The 20,752-nt window shown below is 46.8% G+C and overlaps 1 protein-coding gene across 70 annotated transcripts in view, besides 3 other annotated features; it reads right to left on the bottom strand.

The window, feature by feature from the left end:
* Window positions 1-20,752, bottom strand: part of CELF2 (CUGBP Elav-like family member 2) — an 874,126-nt gene that overhangs the window by 25,807 nt on the left and 827,567 nt on the right.
* Window positions 15,299-15,348: an enhancer, noted in NCBI's record as "active region_3009". NCBI's record gives its function as "activates an Ori minimal core promoter by ATAC-STARR-seq in GM12878 lymphoblastoid cells {active_cell/tissue: GM12878}" and the evidence as "EXISTENCE:reporter gene assay evidence [ECO:0000049][PMID:35858748]".
* Window positions 17,392-17,891: an enhancer, noted in NCBI's record as "H3K27ac hESC enhancer chr10:11334941-11335440 (GRCh37/hg19 assembly coordinates)". NCBI's record gives its function as "activates a minimal SCP1, AML or CMV promoter by ChIP-STARR-seq in primed H9 embryonic stem cells {active_cell/tissue: H9 hESC(primed)}" and the evidence as "EXISTENCE:reporter gene assay evidence [ECO:0000049][PMID:30033119]".
* Window positions 17,892-18,393: an enhancer, noted in NCBI's record as "H3K27ac hESC enhancer chr10:11334439-11334940 (GRCh37/hg19 assembly coordinates)". NCBI's record gives its function as "activates a minimal SCP1, AML or CMV promoter by ChIP-STARR-seq in primed H9 embryonic stem cells {active_cell/tissue: H9 hESC(primed)}" and the evidence as "EXISTENCE:reporter gene assay evidence [ECO:0000049][PMID:30033119]".

Raw genomic sequence — 20,752 nt, 5'->3', positions numbered from 1 at the left:
ATGTCATTAAAAATATTTTAAAAAATCTTACTATACATTTTAGGGTTTTTCCCGGTGGGAGGGTCTTTCCAGTAATCTAGTCTGCCTAACTGCCAGAAATAGAAGTCTCTCCTATTTGGGGTATTTTCTAGGGACTGCATCCGATGCCAGTCTACATGTAATAGTCCTTGCCAGATTGCTGCGCTAGTAAGTAGCGTGTTAAAAACTATCCCTCGCACATGTTTGAATTCTAAACCAGCAAAAAAGGCCTGAACATTTTCACACAATTTTAGGGTACACCAGGGAAGTACTTCTAAAATAAGGATATCCTTGGGCCCTCCTTCCAGTGAAACAACTACAACAGATAAAAATAATAAAAACCAACCACTTAAAGTCTCTGGAAATTGTCCTAAGTGTATAGATGAAGAAATATTTTTCTCAAGAAGATTTATCAAATCTCAGTAAGAGCAGCAAGAATCTGTGGCATGTGACCCACAACCCACAACCTGCTCCCTTCCCTGGTACAAATCCCCTCCTCTGAAGCTCAGCATAAAGGAAGCTCTACCCTGGGCAGGTATGGCCAAGAAGATGGGGCTACCTCTTCCCACAGCTCCAAATACACAGGGTTATGGTTTCTCCCAGGGAGGGGGAGACTACCAACATTGACAATTCACAGCTCCCACCCCTGCCAACTCTGTGGCAGAAGCTCTATTCTAGACCAAGAAGCAGAGGGGTCCCTACCTCAGTCCAGCCTTTACTCATGGAGGGGAAGCTCTACGCTAGGCATAGCATTCTGAGTACTGGGTCCCATTCACTCCATCTCACTCACTGGGTGGAGGTCTTATGCTGGGAGAGGCAAGGAGAGAAGACCAGTTGCTCCTATGCTCACACAGTACCCTTCCTGTAGACCAGAGGTGTCATTCACAGAAAAGCAGGCCACTGCCCCTGCACCACCTCCAGAGCAGGGAGAGACAGGTCACAAGAACAAAGGGCTCTGTAACTTCCCCTAAGGATAACTAATTATTTGGAACAGAGTATAGGAAAGTTCAAACCTCAGGCACTGTCAGAAACAAGATAAATTTTGTTGGTGAGCAATTAAGAGTAGGCAGTAGCTCCATGATGGCAAAGTAGACCAGCTGAAAGCTTAGCAGAGAGGGCAGGGAAAGGGACAGCCAGAAAGAGTCCTCCTGGGATCAGAGCAGGCCTCAAGGACTGGCCGAAAGAGCACCCCTACGAAAGGGCCCAGCCACAGTCAGAGCAGACTGTGGGGACAATCAGAGCAGACTGTGGGGACAATTTATGCTCCTGGGCCAAAAATAATAGCGCAAACAACTGAAGATTAGTGGAGGCTAACAGCTGGAAGTGAAAACAACAGAGATACAGCAGCCAGAAACTTAACAGAGATCAGGCAAAGAGGCAGTGAAAGGGAGCTGTCTGGAAGAATTTTGTAATTTAACAAAGGAAAAATAGGAATGTCACTCATAGCTCAAGGCTGTGGCCTCTGAGGAGTGACAGCAGAGGCACAGTGCAGGGGAATAGACTTCACTGAATTATTCTTGCTAAATCAGTAAGGAAATAAACACAAATGAGAAGCCAGTGGGGAAGGGGTGATGTGCAGTGGGTAAGGAGGATTAGCACCCAGAAGTGCTGTAACATCTACAATGTCCTGTTGTTAATAGAAAGCTATGATATATGCAAGGGAACAAGAACATGCAATCCGTACACAGGAAAAAGCAGACAGCAGACAACAGAAACTGTGCGTAAGAGGGCCCAGATGTTAGACTTGGTGGACAAAGACATGAAAGCAGCTATTATAAATATGATAACAATCTAAAAAATCATGCCTAAAGGATTATAAGTGTAATTACAATGTTTCATCAAATAAAGAATGCCAATAAAAAGGCTGAAATTATAAAAAGAAAAAATTGGAAATTCTTTTTTGCATTTTACAAAGTAAATCTATTTCTTTCAACATTCATAAATCAACACAGTACATGCAAGTAAGTAGGACAGAGGACACTTGCAATTCTAAGAAAATCATACTGCCTAGCATGTGATAGACATCTACCAGGCAAATGGCAAACGGCAGCATTTTAAAATTTAACTTTCAGTAGGAAAGTGATGGAAATAAAAATTAGCCTAGACAGTTCACCATACAAAAACAATTTTAAATGAGGGTAAGTCCAGTGAAATAATCTGCAAAATACCTACACAACTTTAATTAATAAATAAATGTGACCTGAATTGAACTGACAAGTTTTAATAGGCTATATGTAATTTACTTGTGTCCTGATTTAAAAAAATGGAAATTCTGGGGCTGAAAAGTAAAAACCAAAATGAAAAATTCACCATAGGGCTCCACAGTTGGTTTGAGTTGGCAGAAGAATGAGTGAACTTGAAGATATACTGATAGAGATTTTACAATCTAAAGGATGGAAAGAAAAAAGAATGGAGAAATGAACAGAGCCTCACAGAAATATGGTACACCATTAAGCACACTCACACACATGTAAAGTGTGTAATGCATGCACTAAAGACCAGAAAAAAAATTTCAAGAGATAATGGCTGATAATTTCCCAAATCTGATGAAAGACAATAATCCACACATGCAAGAAAATAAACAAACTCCAAGTAGGATAAATGGAAAGAAATCTATACCCTGGCACATGACAGAAATATGTTGAAAGTTTAAGAGAAAATCTTGAATGGAGCAAGAGAAAAATGATTCATCATGGATCCCAGTAAGATTAACAGCTGACTTCTCAGCAGAAACAATGGATGAGAAGTTAGTAAGATGACATATTCAAAGTGCTAAAAAGAAAAAACCTATTAACTCAGAATCTTATATCTAGCAAAACACAAGACACAAAACACAAGACAGGCTGTTGCTCTTAGTCTCTGCAGCTTGCACTGTGCAGAACGTCATCTTACAGCACAGACCTCACCAGTCTCCCCACCTTTTTGCACTGTAAGTGGGGATGGTCACCTGCCTGCCTCTGTGGTGAGCAGGGGAAGGATCATGGAGGTTGGCTGGCATGGGGCATCACTGAGAAAGGCAGGAAAAAGGGTCCTGGCCCAGCCCCATTGCTACTGAAAAATGAAACTATAGCTCTTAATAAAGAACACAACTCTATAGTTTCATCAGCTCTTTTCAGTGGAATCTTAAAAACAAAACACAAAACAACTGGAGGCAAAATGGGGTTTCATTAAGCCTGCCTTGTTCCCTCATCTCCCCAACCTTCTGTTTCATTGTATTTAAACGGAGGAAGAAGAAGGGCACTGAATTCACCGGGTTATTGTAAAGATTAAATAATCTATGTAATGAATTTGGCACTGTATTTGGCACCATTTTTAGATCATCATCAGTTATTAGGTAGAGGCTGAACAGAACAGACAAAATGATATAGGATCTATTTTATGAAACAATGAAAGCAGGTAACACTTTTCCCCACTTTCATCTAAACATCTCCAACTGTTGATGACTGCACAGCCACTGATCTGGCTTCTGCTGGAGGACCTTCTCCCACCTTGCAGGAAATCACAGGAGGGCCCTGTATGCCAGGCTGTAACCTTTCTCTTCCTATGATGTCCACACTGTGAACTGCTGGCCCAGAGATGCTGCCTGCTGCGCCCCCATCCAGGTGCCTCCAGAGTAGTGCCCGTCAGAGCGCGCTTCTAGAGAGTGCTTCGCCCTGGGGCAAGGGAGAAGAGGCGCTGGAGGACACCAGGCCTGGCTGATCTTGTGCTTAGGGAAGACTTCTCAAATCCTCCAAGTCTCCAAGGTGGGTCTGCAAACAGGTGTGTTGATGCCACACACTGCTCTCATGTGGCTGACTCCCAATGGTGATGGCAAACAGTGAGTTGGACAGAGAACTCCTTAGGCACAGATACACGCACAGCCTATGAGCATGGGGCAGCCTAGCTCAGGGGGCCATAGGAGAGGTGGAGGCGGCCTAGAAACTCCCTGGGCCCCTTTTGTTATTGATGACAATGAATCAATATGCAAATTAGGTCTCTTTACACCCTGGCTTCCTATTTAAAAACTGGGAGGCTGGCTATAGTGAACTGGACATAATTTCTCACTTCTTACTACGCTGTTCTTAGACGGTCCCAGTAGAAAGTTGGGGAGACGGTGAAGAAAAGGAGGGAGAAGAATCAAGCATGAGACTAAGAAAAATTAACTAGATGACTTGCCTTAAAGTGGAAAGACTCCCTGTGCACTCTACATCATCAGACAATACTTTGAAAATTCACCCCAACTGGCATCTCAGTTGTAAGAGGGTAGTTTTATTGTACATTTAGCCACCTTTAAGAACCTTCTGAATGTTAACAAATAATTTAAAGCATAAGAAAAACTCCAATTTGTCACACAGCCAACCTTGATCAAGTACCTAAAGACTGACCGTTCAGCAGATGCACAATTGAGAAAGAGGTCTTAGACAGAGACACATGCGGTGCCACCAACACCCAGACTCTCCATTTCTGTGCTGGCAGGCTGGCAAGATGCTGCCTCGGACAACCATCTGCATTCTTCCCACCTCAGATTCCTTCAGTCTGTGCTGAGAACTGTACCCTACGCTTTCTCACTTAAAAGTTTTACAAAATGCCAAAGGAGCATCTCAGGAGAGGTGCGGTCTATAAATGTTGGTTCATAATCTCCCAGAACACCTCTTCAAGCAGAGGCTGCACCATCCAAGCAGGAGGAGGCAGAACAAAGCCAAGAGGATCCCAGACGGAGGCTGCAAAGTGCACCTCACCTTGCTCGCACAGTGGCTGCAATAACTTGGATACGTCACATTTTAAGCCTGTTGTACCACTGGTTAAAACCTATCAATCAGGCGACGGACGTTCAGGCCAGCTGGCGTGCCAGGAAAGAGAATGGTTGAGCAGGCAAGGATGGCCATGGTTTTATCAGCTCATGTGCAGACAAAGTCTGTGGCCTTTTGTGAAAACTGTTTGTGGGGCAGGGTGGGGTGTGGAGAACAGGAAAAGCGAGGTGGTCCAGAGACCCTGATGGTGAGGATATGCCCACCTTGGCCTGGCCACAGAAGTTCTTTGCTTGTTTGCCCAGATAAGCTCACTGTTGGAAAACTACAAATTGAGTAATCCCAAACACTAATCCCAACTGAGGGGACGGGATGGGTTCCTTCTCCTTAGAGCTGTGCTAGGTCTGGGATGAACACTACACCCAGAAGAGATTCTTGTCTTAGGTTAACACTGTAGGTCAGAGACCGAGTGCCTAGGTCATTAGGTGCTAGATCATCACCTGGAATAACTCCCGTATAATATCTCCAACAGAGCTGAGAGCTGAACCCCCCAACCTTCCTTCTCTTCCTAATCCCACTGACAATAACAGGTAATAGGACATCTTTCAGACGGATATTTTACTGCAGGTGGGATCCTCCCAGGCAAACTGTGAACTAGACTGGAGTCTTTCCTGCGCTTGAAAGATGAGGAAGCAGAGGCCCAGAGTGTTGAAGGGACTGGCCCCGGTGTACCCGTGAGGGATGCAGGATGGGCGCCGGCACCCAGGTGTGGGCATGAGGACTCCACAAGGAGGCCAATGGCCTTTGCCACTTAGGGATACAGCAGTTGTGGAGGAAGGGCTGTTTGGAAGCTCTCTCAAACCAACTCAAATAAATTTCCAGAGAGGCAAGGACCTGAGCTCCACTTTCCAGAAAAAAGTTCTTTTCTCTGCTATGTGGATAACCTGGACCACCTCCCCCTAGCCCCTCACCAGCCTTGGATTTCCTGTGGGAGGAGGGGTGACTATCAGACTGGTAGAACTGGGAAGGACCTGTATCCACTGGGCCAGGGCTGGAGGAGGGGCACCGAGTTGAACCAGAAGATGCCGATGCGTGTTTGACAAAGGCATTCCCGTTCTCTCTTCTCTCTCTGTTCAAACAGCGCCATTCCTGGATAGGTAAATGAAGCTTATTTGGGGCCTAAGGGCTATGTTTGGAGAGGGAACTAAAAATTACTATTATGTTCTCTGTTCACCCCCCAGCCAACCCGAGACATCCATGTCCTAAGTCCTGGAACCTGTAAATATGTTAGGTTACATGGCAAAGAGAAAATTGTAGATGGAATGTGCTATGGTTTCAATGTGTGTTCCCCAAATTCCATATGTTGGAAACTTTATCCCCAATGTGGCAGGGCCTTTAAGAGGTGATTGGATCATGAAGGCTCTGCCCTCATTAATGGATTAATCCGTTCATGAATTAGTGGGTTAAGGAATTCATGGGTTATGTAACAGGAGTGGAAGTAGGGCTTTATACGTAGAGGAAGAGCGTCCTGAGCAAGCATGTTAGCACACTCAGCCCCGGCCATGTGATGCCCCGCACTGCCTCAGGACTGCAGAGTCCCCACCAGCAAGAAGGCCCTCACCAGATGCACTGCCTTGACCTTGGACTTCTCAGTCTCCAGAGCTGTAAGAAATAATTCCTCTTTAAAATAAATTACTTTCAGGTACTCTGTTATAAGCCACAGAAAATGGACTAGGAAAGTTGCTGATCAGCAGAACTTGAGATGGGGGAGGTTATTGTGGATGGTCTGGGTGGGTTTTTGTAAATGGAAGAAGGAATCAAAAGAGAAAAAATCAGAGATGGCAGCATGAGGACTTGCTGGCTCTGAAGATGGAGGAAGGGGCCATGAGCCAAGTAAAGCTGGTGGCCTGCAGAAGCCGGGAAAGGAAATGGATTTACCCCGAGAGCCTCCAGAAGGAACACACCCTGCTGACACCTTGACCCTAGCCCAGTGAGTCTGCTGGGTTCCTCATCTACAGAACTGCAACATAATAAATGTGTTGTTTTAAGCCATGAGGTTGGTGGTAACTTGTCATCTCAGCAACAGGAAACTAACATTCTGCAGCTCCACCGTACTGGGAATAAAGCTAACAGTGAGCACAGCTAAGGTGTGAGTGCTTGCCACGTGCTGCTCATTGCCAAAAGCACGTCACATGCCTTAGCCTATTAAGTCCTTTACAGTTATCCTGTGAAGTGAAGTCGCGTGCGGAAGGTCACACAACTCTCAGTGGCAGAGCCAGAATTTAAACCCAGGGGTCTGGCTGCAAAGTCAGCATTATGTTGATGTGGAAGTCAAGATTCTATTTCCCCTCTTATGTCTATCTAGTGGCTACTGCAGAGATTTACTTATGGAAGCAGTAAACTTGCACTCACTCAGATTTGCCTTTAATTTTTTGGCTCTGTTCCTTCCAGTCTGTAAGACCTTAGGCCATCTGCTCCATTCAGCTGAGGCTTAGTGTTTATTCACGAAACGGGAGTAACACACACTGCCTCTGCGGATGGGCGTGGCAATCCAAGAAGGCGGCACTGATGTCTGATGCACAGCGGGTGATCAATAAACGTGTGTTCAGTCTGTATCTGAAGGAGGAGAATCTGGGTATTCTGTCCTCAAAAGAGGAACTGCATCTTTACACTTCATTTTACAGCACTTGCAATGAAGATTCAACATCTTCTTCCCCAGAGTGGCGACTGGATGGATGACTAATTTTGCAGCCTTTCTCATTAGTCCAGTCATTGGGAAGGTCAGTCTGTGTGTATAGTTTTGAGAGCGTCCCGAGAAGGGTGACCAGACATGAAAGTTGAGTTGAAAGAGAGTGAGCTGATAAGAGTAAAATTGAGCCTAGAGAGGCAAGGGACTAAGGCAAGAAACAGTCTTAGGTCTTGACGTGAGAAAGATATTCTTTGCAGCTCAAGAGATCAAAATTAGGATCAGTGGGTGGAAGCTGTTCAGAGGCAGATTTTAGTTCGATACAGAGGAGAGCCGGCTAGGGAAGAAGTTTCCGCTGGGCCACCTCTGAGGCACTCGAGTCCCTGTTTGTGGGGTGAGAAAGCAGATGCCTCCGACATGTATCAAGGGGGTTTCTGTAGACCCTGAGGCTAGGCTTGATGGCCACAAGGTCCAAAAAGCCAACTATTGAAAAGCTCTTATTGTTGTGCCAAACACACGCTGGCTTCATCTCCTGGCAGAGAAAGAGAGGACTCCGGGAAGGCAGGATTCTAATGCTTCCAGGCAGAACTCTGGTGAAGGCTCCAACTTCCACTGTCCGCAGCACAGCGGAACAATGTGAAAATCTCATGTCAATTTAGAGACCCGAGAACAAAGGATCGACATAAATACAAGCCCCATTAAGCTTAAAATGGAAACAGCTTTTACTTTCTCTCCCGGGGAAACCTATACACAGCAGCTGCCACACCAAGTACACCCAACTCGATCCTAAATGACCAGATCACAGAGAAAGTCACCAAGAAAAAGACCACAGTTGTGTGGTGTCAAGTCCCTTTGGCCCAGGGCCCTGGGCTGCGGATGCTCTGCAGGCCATTTGGTCAGAGTTCTTGTCTGGGGGAGGCGGGCCCAATCCTGTCCTTTGGGGGCACTGCAGCCACAGACACATTTAATGGAGAAGATCGTTACTGTAAAGTTACAGCCTCGCCCGCATCGGCACCACCTGGGGCTCCCCTCACTCCCGCTGAGTCAGACGCTCTGGTTGTGGGGCTTGGGCATCTGAGTTGAACCAGCCCTCGGCGCTGCTTTTGCATGCAAACATTAGAGAACCACGTGTGTCAGGACTATCCGATGCGGTGCTGTCAAATTCCATCACGACTGGGTGAAAACTTGATTCTGAGGCATGAGAAGGTGAGAGGCTGCAGGGAGTGGGAAGGTTTGGTTTGTGACAGGAAAGGGCAACAGTCACTGGGCACCAAGGAACCCAGAGTCAAAAACTAGGTGAGAGTGGTAAGTTACGGTTCTGTTCTTCCAGAGGAAAAGAAACCCCACCAGAAGACAGCCGGTTGAAGAGCAGGGATTTGCTTGTCCGTTTCCCTAGAAACTATGAGAATCACTGGTGCAGCGGGCACTGAGCTGGCATCTGCTGAGCGGAGGAGGGGCAGGCGGTTCCAGCGAAGGCGGAGGCGGCTGACCTGGGCGCCCTGTCTGGCTCTCTCCACATGAGGCCCACGTGCAGGCCCTAGTGCGCTGGACAAGGGCCTCGCACTCCACCTCCCGCGGCCTAACTGGGGCTCCTCACGACATGGGTGAGCCTGTGGCCCCACCCAGGACCCTCATCAAACCATTCCCTTCTGCTTATGTGCCAGAGAAAATAGGAAGAGCTTCAGAAACAGAGTGGGTAAAGCCAGTTGCTGCCGTGGTGCCACCGGGCCAGGGCCAGAGAACCCCTCCGTTCCTCTGATGCAGCTCAGAAGCAGGGCTGCCGAGGGCCACGCTCAGCTCCCAGGCCGCCACTCTGCACAGGTGGGAGCTGAGGCCCAGTCCAAGCCCGTCCTGGAGAAGCCCACCTCCCCTCACTGGAACGGGAGTCGGGGCCGGGGGCAGCGGGAGCGGGGTGGGGGGTGCTGTGGGAGCGGGGTGGGGGGGTGCGGTAGGGGGGGAAGCGAGGGGGGTGAAGTGGTGGGGGGAGCGGGAGTGGCGGGGGGGCGGTGGGAGCAGGGTGGGGTGCGGGAGGGGGGGAAGCGGGGGGAGGGGGGAAGTGGGGGGGAAGCGGGGTGGGGAGCGGGAGCAGGGCCCGCATAGGGGCTCCAGTGGGCTTCTTATTCTGTGTAGAAGGTGGGATGGTGAACAAGACTCTTGATTTGGGGTGAGGCTGCCTGCGGAGGAACTTGGGTATTCCTCCATCCTTCTAAAGATTCCAGATCCACGACGAAAGGGAGAAAAACAGCAATGAGGGGCTTATCCATCTCTCACATTTGCCAGTTCTTTATTTAAAATATAATTCCCATATGAATTTTCCCCTTCGCCCTTGTCTTGGTCTCAGTGTATCTGCAGGGCATGTCTAGCGTTAAGTCTGTCCCAGAAACTGGCTTGCTTTCTAGGAACAAATGCATTAATGTTCTCATATTAACCCTACTCCCCACTCTTCCTGGATAGCAAAATACTTTTTTTTAAAGCTGCAACAAAACAACATTAACAGAAGACAGCAAGAATTTGCCTTCGGTGCCCTCGTTAAACACTTTCCACAGAACAATTAGATAGTGAAAACACAGTGGCTTTGTGGTTTAGGAAATAAAATCATTGTAAACACGGAGAAAATCGCCTGCATTGACCAAACATACTCAGGACACTGGAGCCCGCGGTCGCCGTTTTGCCTCAAACGAGCTTGGATGCGGAATTCCAACTGCGCAGGAAAAGATTGTGAGGAAGTAGGATAATTAAGCCATGACACAGGCACTAGCATTACTAGCCAATCACAACCCTGGGGCATTAATATACTACGCCTCTCCCCCCGTGAGGCCTAATTATTCCACAATAACCACACCTTTCATTTTAATTTAGTCCCTCGAAGATAGTTTGGGCAGGGAGGGGCGGGGTGACTGAGGAAGAGGAGGTAGGGTTGGAAAGTGACACTGGGCGCTGCAGTGGTGAGGTGTGACCTCACACTCCCAGCCTGGAAGAGGGTACCTTCCCCAGAGACATTGGTGCCCCTCTCTTCTGCTGCCAGTTCTGCTTCCCAAGGAAGCTGATGCCACCTGGCTTGGTGCAGTGCTGGGCAAGAGTCATCACTACTGGTTCTCAGGAAGACTGGGAAGAGGAAAATTCAGTCTAGAGGGCCGGGTCTGGACTCAGAACGACTGCTGAGGCTTTATTGTACGGTGGCACACATGTGGAAGGCGGGGAAGTGAGGGGCCAGCACCTGCTCCTCACGTCCAAAGCAGCTGTCCTGTTTCCACTCCTTTAATGTTCATTCCCAAAGGCTTGTGGAAGCTCTGTCTAGTGGATCTAAGAAATCTACTTCATGGGTTGTCAATAAACCAGGGTGCCTCCCTACCCGGCCTAATTTTTAGCATCTTCCCCAGTCCCGTGAAGACGGGCACTCATAAAGGCAGTGTGGGGCCATGAGTTTGGAAGAGTCCATTCATACAGGCAGTACACAGGGATCTCCTACGAGCGGGGCAAATGAGAGGGAAAAATCAAACCTCTTTTCCCTGCCAATGATATTTTGCTTATGATTTACTGAAACAAAAGTATATACTTCCCCTTTAGCTGGCCCCAGATGTTTGTTTTTACAGATGGCCCGGAGAAGGACCGAAAAAAAAAATGTTGATGATCTCCTTACAAGGGGGACAATGTGTAATTGGCGAAACCCAGAAATACGGTTCTGGGATCCCAGGAGTTCCTGCTTAGAATATGGACTGTCTCGTGGTGCGGTGGCGCTGTCATTTCACCTGTCACTAACATCCCGGGCAAACCACTGACCCTTGCAGGCCTCTGTTTTCCTCACGTGGATCACAAAAGAGGCAGTTGGATACATAACAGCAGCTGTAGCATTTAATGATGGGACCGGGCTCGGGCCTCTGAAGAGAAAGGGCAAGGACAGGGGCTTCTCAGGAAAGCAGGCCCATGTCACCATGTCACTGACAGCCTGTCTGAAGTCTGGCCTTCCTGGGGGGGGTTGGGGGGCAGCTTGTCCAGATGGAGAGAACATCATTTCTGGGAGGCAGATTTTCCTCTGGGCAACATGACCCCAATGGTAGCAGGGGGCAAGAGGTCACCTGGCGCAGCCCAGGGACGTCACAGCAGGGCTGCAGGCTCGCTGGGGCGCCGCGTGGACTCAGTAGGACTGCTGCCCCTGCAAGGGCCCGGTGCAGAGCACGCACCACCCGCCGTGTGGCCCGAGATACAAACCAACAACTCCCCAGGGGCCTCAGGCCTGACCCTTAGTGCAGAAATCCTGCCTGGACACAGCAGTCTTGCTCTGTTTAACCCAGTCTTACCATTTTGTATTTGGTAAGGAGGGGATATTGGTTCTAGGAGCTCAAGTGGCATTTGTGGTAGGTAGAAAGTTCCCCGTTCCCTTGAACAGCAGAACACAAAAGCAGAAAGGAGTGAGGAAACTGTCTTCTCCCTGTATTTACATCCTAATTTTTAAAGGAAAGGTGGGGAGATACTTGTTTTCCAAAGGCAAGAGATTCAGAGAAAAATATCATTGGACCTTATTCTAGTTTTAACCCAGTTAAACATCATCGGACCTTATTCTAGTTTTAACCTAAACATCATCAGCCCTCATTCTAGTTTTAACCTAGTCTTCTGTTCTCCAGAGCTGTGGTATTTCGTATCACTCCAAAATAATGATTCGATCTTTCCCATATATGATACTTAAACATCGTTTTTTTAAAAAAGCACCAGTATACATTTACATAAATATAAATATGTGTGTATATATAAACCTCAATGTTTCCACAAGAAAAGTGAGTATTAGCAATTAATTCTATTTCACAACTGAGAAAATAATTAAGATTACATTACTTGCTCCAATGACTCTTGATCAAGATGTCTACATACTCTAGAAAGACAAATATAATTAGAAATCCTCTGTTACATTCTGTAGGTTGACTTTTTCTTAAACCTCTGCCCCGGCATGAGTTTTTGTTTCTAGCCCCAGATATATCAATTCTTGGCCCATATGTGATATAAGTACCCTTCTGTCCTAAATTCTTGGCATCCTCCCCAATCCTGACAGAGGTCAGTGTTCCCTCCCTCAGGCTGCACCACCTGCTGACTCAGCCCTGATTCAGATTTGTGCCTGTTGGCTTGTGTGCTAGTACCAGGTCGAGATGGCACCACAAGGCCAGGGTGCTGCTGTGGGGGCTCCTCCCAGGGGGAGATGACATGTGACCCGACCCTCAGAAGGCAGCATCCCCCTCGCCACAGGAGAGGGACACGCTGGAGGCTGAGCTCATCCCTCCAGCCAGCCCTCCAACTCTAGTCCAGCTTTCAGCTCTCATTGGCCTATTCCTGTTTCCCTTTGTTCTGGCTCTTCTCTTTGGTCTACAGATATGTTTTGTTTCTCCATCTTAAAACAAAAACATAAAAACTTCTTCCCCTAGTGACCCCAGTACTTTTACAGATTTTTCATGTTCTTTTGTTTTTTAAGATAGAGCCTTGCTCTTGTCACCTGGGCTGGAGTGCAGTGACGTGATCTCGGCTCACTGCAACCTCTGCCTCCTGGGTTCAAGTCATTTTCCTGCCTCAGCCTCCCGAGTAGCTGGGAACCACAGGTGTGCACCACCATACCCGGCTAATTTTTGTATTTTTAGTATAGACAGGGTTTCACCATGTTGGCCAGGCTGGTCTCAAACTCCTGGCCTCAGGGAGTTCCTCAAGGAACTCCTGCCTCAGCCTCCCAAAGTGCTGGGATTACAGGTGTGAACTGCCATGACTGGCCCCATTACAGATTTTTAAAAATATTCACATTTCATGAACATGTCATATAGAATTGTGTCCTCTCTCACTGCCTGCAAAACTGTCAACCACTGCAGTGAAGCAGCCAGTCTGGGGAGAACCCACTCCCCAACTCAAACTTCAGTCAGCTCTTTCTGCCTTTTCCTCCTCCAGCCCCATCCTGCTTGGCTCCCCTGACACTGTGCTACCCAGAAAGCTCCCTTTCCATCCCCTGGTCCCTCTGTTCCACAAGCACAGACCCCAAGGCTTTCTGCACCTGGTCCCCGCCTTGCCTTGCTGGTGATTTTGGCCTGATGACCTCACCCCTCCCCGGGCTTAGGGCAGCCCGCCTGGCCTCTGCAGGTCAGTCTCAATCCACTCTGCAGCTCCCGGCTCTGGTCAGCCTGATGGTCACACATCCAACTGCTGCTGGACACATTTCACGGAATGTCCGTTCATGTGCACTTGAGCTCTCCATGTGCCACGTCCGATCATTTTATATGACAGCTTCCTCCTCAACTCCCCTCACAACTGAGAGCAATGCTCCACTGGCCACCCAGGCCCAACACACCATATCATTTTTCCTCCTTTCCTTTTGTTCTCCCTCACATCAAATGGGTGCCTCAGTCCAGTCACACAGGAAGTCTATCATTCTTGGGCCTAAAGTCCTGAATAGCTCTTCACTGCTGACAGGAAAAGTCCCAGCTCCTGAGCCCCGGCTCTCAGGGTCCCCGGTGGGCATCCTTTTCCATATGTCCATGCTTGTGAAAAGTGAGATGAACTTCCATTTGCTGATTAAATGCTATTTCTGCATTTTCCCACATTTGATGTATCTTCCATTCTGCTTCTACTTTTAAACATCCTACCCACCCTGAACATTTTGGCTCAAATGTCAACTCTTCTACTAAAATTTCCCTTACTTCCTTGGGGCAGAATCTCTCCTGTCACTGACCCCTGTACCTTACCTGCCTTCCTGCTGTCTGTGCTGTACAGGTCGGTACATTTTGCTTGTGTTTGTAGGTGGCCAATGCATCTAGTTGATGGTGACGGGTTCTCGGGATTAAACCACATCTGAACTAAAAATTTCCATTTTATTGCTTTCAAGTCTGAAGAAATGGAACTTACAGTATACGCTTCTGGGAAGTTGTGACTAGAATAAAGCTTTGCTGATTTTCCCACCTAATATAACACAATTAAGCAACACATGCTTTTCACCAGTGCTAGTGGTGATAACATGTTTGTATCATACAAGATCACAGAAATAAAAATTTCTGTGATTTAGTGAGAATAAAAAATCTCATTAAGTGGCTGGACAGAAAACACAGCCTGAGCTCATATAAACATCACAAGGGGATCTGATGTGGATTTGCCACAATACAGAAGAGTGTGCAAAGCAATATTTAAAAACAAATCACACTTAGCACAGAGTCCAGCGCCACCAACAGCAAAAAGCAAATACGTGAAGAATTAGAGTCAATGTCTGCACATGTTAAAAAGCCCACTCAAAACAAGGAACAATGCGCTTGGTGAGTGGCAGCCCTAAGATGCACGCGAGGATCTGTCCATCCCGGGGATGAAGGCACCCGCCAAGGAGAGCTCAGGGCACAGGTGGAATCTACTTGCATAAATCCCAGCGTGGGCTCTGTGGTGAACCGTAAATATCTCTACCCCCAAAGCTGCGCAGCTTTATTAAGCTTTAAATTGGTTACAGACTATTAAGAGACTCCAGCCTGCTCCAGGTTGGGGCATTGCACCAACTGCCTGGAGTATCCATCCACTCACTAGGCAGAAGTTCATTGCACACCCAAACTCCCTCCACACAAGGGGCCCTCAAAACCCCTCTGGGTGGGAGGGGTTTGCATGCTCTCTCCTCCTTTAGAAGCAGGATGATCAATGCCAAATAAAGGACATTTACTAGGCAGACACACTGTTTCCAACTACTGTTCTCCCCAACAGTATCAGTCTTACATGCCGAAGAACTTTCAAACCACCTGGTTTGTGTGTCATGCTTCTGTGGAGAAGCCACAGAGCAGCCCGAGCAGCAGGGCCAAGGGCTAAACCCTCTCGCTTTCTGGTTTGGCCACTTGCAGTTCTACCTTAAGGGGGGCCCTACTCCCAGCTCTCTGCTGCACCAAACACACAGAAAGATGGTACAGCTCAAAGGAGAGGAAGAAAGGAGAGAAGAGAGCTTCCCTCTCCCACTCTTGGTCTCATTCACAAAATTTAACGTAAGATATACAAAATATTGGTTATGACGTTTTAAGAGTGTAGAAGTTACAATTTATACTTAAAGGCTATTCAAATTGTTTTTACCATGGTGTGAATTCAGTAAAATGACGCTTTTCTTAAAAGCTGATGCTAGAAGAGAAAGGACATGCAGGTAGGAATCTTCATCAGCTTTGTCTACTGATGTGTCTCCAGTGCTGGAACAGTTCCAGGCACACAGATGCTTGATACATATTTGTTGAATGAATGAAAAAAAAAATCTATCAAGAGGTGACAGTCACTACAGAGTCATTTTATTTACAGAACATGTTATGTAATGTGTGACTCCATTAACATTAATGAAAATAAAGTGAGCCCCATAATGTCACGAGCAAAGAAGACAATTTTCAGAAAAGCAGTGTAAAATGTTGAAACTTGCAGGAAATGAGCAAAGACCGGGAGGTCAGTGCTCTTTCTACTGCAGCAATAAGAGTGTAAACAAGTTTGACTGTCAGCACCATAGGAAAGCTAAAATAAAAAATGAAAAGACGTTTGACAGATTTGTTGTTGTTGTTGTTGAGAAAGAGCCTCACTCTGTTGCCCAGGCTGGAGTGCAGTGGTGTGATCTTGGTCACTGCAGCCTCTGCCGCCTGGATTCAAGTGATTCTCCTGCCTCAGCCTCCCGAGTAGCTGGGATTACTGGCACCTGCCACTGCGCCTGGCTAATTTCTGTAGTTTTAGTCGAGACTGGGTTTCACCATCTTGCCCAGGCTGGTCTTGAACTCCTGACCTCGTGATCCACCCGCCTCGGCCTCCCAAAGTGTTGGGATTACAGGCGTGAGCCACTGCGCCTGGCCGTGTGACAGATTGAAACCCACACATGAACAGCCCATTTTACCAACTGGCTTGACTCTGCCTGACTGAGACACTTAGCCGCTAGTGGAGGGAAGAATGGTCTACCTTGAGATTTCCTTCTTTCTCTTAAGAATAAACAATGACAAAAGATGGGTGTAAGAAGAAAAAGAGGACGGTAAAGGCTAAGCCCATCTTCCCAGGAATAACTGGTCCCCTGCACTTATAAAATGCCCTGTGTTTTATAAGTGTGGTATAAGTAAAAAATACTCTAAAAAGCAAAATGGGACCTTGCTTATGTAAGCAGTGTGGGCAGGCACCGGAAGACTACGTGGACTTAGCAGTGCACACAGAGCTAATGGGCACTTTCTGGGGATGATCTGCCATGATGTTATGTTTCAAAAGCACACATTAGAGTAGGTGGTTCTTCTGAAGGTGAAATGCCCTTCTCTGATACCAGACTCGTACTTATTCTATATCGTGACATCAGAACATTTTGAAAGCCACTATTTGTAAAATAAGCTGCCCCTGTAATAAAAAGACTGCTTCATATGATTGTTTTGGTGTAAGTTAGTACTGATTTATTCTTCAGAAACCTGTTGGACCTGAGTATTCACCTGTAAGGTGAAACCAAATTGCAGGTTTGGTTCTTGAGGGATCCAGGCAGAGGCACGCCTTACAGGTGAACTGGGTGGGTACGCTGACCCTGCCAACGTCACTGTGAGGGATTTAGCTGCCTCCTTAGAGACGTGTGCGCTAAACTAGACTGAACAGATGGCCCTTAAACATTTGTCTTTGACAATTTTTGCTTCGCTATTCCACTGAATTTAAAAAAAAACAAACAACACTTGAGGGCCTGTGTCTGATGTGCTGCTCCAGATGCAAGGGGGAATTATGAGTAAATAACACACCTTCCCTACTTTAAAATAACTCACTGGCTAGAGGGCAAGACACAAAGTGAGTGCCCACATCACCGTCCTGCAGACAACAGGGTCAGTGTTAGTGAAGGGAGGCCGAGTGTGCCCTGGGAGCACAGGAGAGGGGTGACGTCTGCAGAACGCCTGGCCAGCACTGACACTCCAGCCCTCTCTGCCCCTGGCCTCAAGCAGCCCGACAGCTCCTCAGGAACCTCTGCACTGCCCCAGGTCTAGAATGAGCTAGGAACTTACTCAGCAATACGATGTGGAAGTGATCAATCCTAACTAGAAGGCTTCATGGTAGAGGTGGCATTTGCATTGATTCATATAAGTAGTAGGTTACTGAAAACAGTTTTTACTAATTACCGCCAAAAATCTTCTTATAGTGTAAATTACAGAAGCAGCATAAACTATACTTTTTATAATGTGCATTAGAAACGCTTTTATACCCACCCACACTATTCTCAAGAATGAGCACTGCAACAAGTATTAGTGATGTATTAGATTTTTGTGGGAGGAAATGGGGGAGATGTTCTAGGTAGAGAAGCTTGCAAGAATAATGGCGTAAAGGCCGACGGCGTGGCTGGGCTACGGGGGGTGGCCTGATCTGGGCGAGTGTGTGCTGGCTGGATTCTGGATGGAAGGGCGGAGGTGGTCCAGGTGGACCCTGAATGCCACACTCAGGAGTTTGTTTCACTCCAGTCTAGACCGCAGTTGCCAACAGTGTGTAAGACAGACAGAGGGAAGGGGCCAAGTTGGAGGCTGTTCCAGTAGTACAAGGAGAGAGAAGACAAGGGTCTCTTCCAGGCTCCTGTTGCCTGGGAGGGAAATGATGCTTCACAGGGAGAACTGAGGGGCTGATGAGGCACGCAGCTGAGCCAGGGGCCAGCTGCAAAGATCAGCGACCAAGTCACACCAGCCATTGGGACAATCCATTTAGCAGGGTGGGGCAGGCAGCGGGAAGGGCAGGTCTGTGGGGCAAGTTTAATTCTCGACTCTGAGGATGTGGGACCACTGCAGTAGTCTTGGGGAGACAGCCTCTTTGTCCACCTGTCTGTCCCTCTCTCCTGCCCCACTCTTTCCCATCTGGTGATACTGCCTCGTGCATGTCACCACTTGGAGGGGGCAGTGCAGGCCCCAACTCATTTTTATGTATTTGCCCTGCATGAACTAGAAGGCTCAGAAATGTGGGTTAAACCAGCTTATGCATCACACCTCTTTGCCTAATGCAAGTTCTCCTCTGATGCAAATGCAGACATCTATTGAAGGTGGCGACAAAGCCCCCTGTCAATGGAAAGGCCACAGGATAACTTCAAGGGTGAATTCTCATTTCCCACTGCTCATTCAGCTGCTTTGGTGACACAGGTGTGCAAGAACAACAGTCACCGTCTATCAGTCATGACTATGTGAGGCGAGCAGGGAATGCCTGAACAACGTCCAAACACTCCAATCTCTGTTACCCTCAGATAGTCAAAGAGGAAGTGTCACCATTTCCTTGAAGCTTGGTGTTTGTCACAGCCTTCAAGGAAGCTGGGGATACCTTGAAGATGGGGAAAATACCACCCAGAATTCAAAGTGATAACTCTTTGAAGGGTCAATGGTGGGAATGAAAAAATGCTTCCTAGCATTTTAGAATGCCTTGTACCATGGGAAGAACCAGTCTATGATCCTGGATGTGTACTTGGTCAAGTCTGCACTTACAGAAGCATTTGGAGAATTTTAAAGCATCCTTTTCTTTAAAGAAGAAGACAGAAGAAGTTCAGTGGAATAACATGGTACGTGAATGCAATACATTTTAGACCAAAAAATACCAAAAAATATTCATGTGTGGTAACAGTAACAGTCTCTTCAAGCGCTCAAAATTACCAGACAAAACTAACTCATTTGCAAGCTGAATGGAAGACAAACATTATCTTCTTTAATACCTAGCTACACCCCTTCTAGACAATTTGCCTCTTGCATAAACAGAGACACAGTCGTCAAAAACAGGTTAAAAACTGGGTAACAATAAATGACCCAAGAATTAATTAACTAAATAGGAGACTGGGGTAAACACAGGTAAAATGATCATATCAAAATAAAAGACAAGAAACATGATTAAATTAGGCTTCAAAAGACCCGTGAGAAACTCATAAAAGGCATAATATGCACTTACCTGGATTTTATTCTTTCATGATTTAATTTCTAATTTTATTCACTACCATCTGATAATTGCACGAAACACTTATTTTAACCATGGGCAATTTAAACTATTTTAATTTTTATTTCAAGGCCATGAGACAAAGGAACCTATTTATTGCCTGAGGGGATTTTTTTTTAACAAAAATTAAGACTTAATCTTTCATGTTTTAAAGCCAAGACTGTTTAAAATCATTTATAATAATGCTGTAGGGAGACTTTTCCTGGGTATGCAAAATTGAAATGATAAATTTACAATTATTAAAAAAATTAACAGTTTGGGGGATTGAATTGTCCCTTTGCTTTCCAGATGAATTTGTCTGAAGCTTAAGAGACACGCTTAAAAACAGGGTAAACCCCAGGCCTGTGGAGGAGAGATGGGATGAGGCTTCCCTTCAACTCACAGGGCAAGTGAACTGGCTCATGGTCCAAATAGTATGCCCAGTTTATTATTATTTAAAAAGTAAATAATGGCAATGGCCTTGGGAATGGCTTTCAACCCCTTTTATCTTCTAGGAAACTGCCTTGATGAAGTGGAGATTCATGAATTCTACTAACCACATTTTCTGTGACTTTCAAAAAGTCCCTGATGGAAATTAGACAAATAATTTACTTTCACTTAAACATCAGATTTTTTAGTTACACTTAAGAAAAATAATTGAAATGTAGATTTCAATCATTGCTGCTGCTACACTTTAGGATTCTAATAAAATACTTTCAGTTATTATGCAAAGCATTCCTCAGTAGAGAAGAGAAAAATCGCTCTCAGTGACACCTAAGCGAGCGGCGTGTTCTGAAGGGCAAGAAGCCTCTTACAGAGCAGTCAAGGCAAGGACGCTGCGCTGGTGTGGTTTTGACTCCAGCAGGGAGGAAGGCTCATCCCACAACACATTTTCCTCCACTGCAGTCTCAGGAAGAAATTGAAAATAGTCACATACATTTAAAATTCCTTTCCGACTAACACCTAGGCCGTCGCCCTAGACCGTCTGAGTGGCCCACATTTTTTTTTTTTTTTTAGACGGAGTCTCGCTCGTCGCCCAGGCTGGAGTGCAGTGGCATGATCTCCAGTAGCCCACATTTTAAGAAGGTTGCAACAAGCTCACACTCCTCCCAACGTGGGCTGGAACGGACGCGGTCCACCACAGAGCCCCCACTCCGCTCTCCCCCACCCACTGGCTCTGTCCTCTGCCTCAACACGCGCCATGGCTTCCGTCACGGAACTCAGGTCTCTGCTCAAAGGTCACCTTTTGAGAGAGGGGTCACCTCCTCCAGTCCCCTTTCCCCTTGTTCAGTGGGATTCTGTCACAGATCTGACACTCATTGCTTTGCTTCTTGTCCAAGTCCCTGAAGGACTGAAGGACTCCCGAAGGTAGGCAGCACATCTGTCCTGCTCACACCACAAAGCGCTTTTGGGATATGATTTT

Source organism: Homo sapiens, chromosome 10 (assembly GCF_000001405.40).
Source record: "Homo sapiens chromosome 10, GRCh38.p14 Primary Assembly".
Taxonomy (NCBI): domain Eukaryota; kingdom Metazoa; phylum Chordata; class Mammalia; order Primates; family Hominidae; genus Homo; species Homo sapiens.
This window is presented reverse-complemented; position numbering and strand designations above follow the sequence as displayed.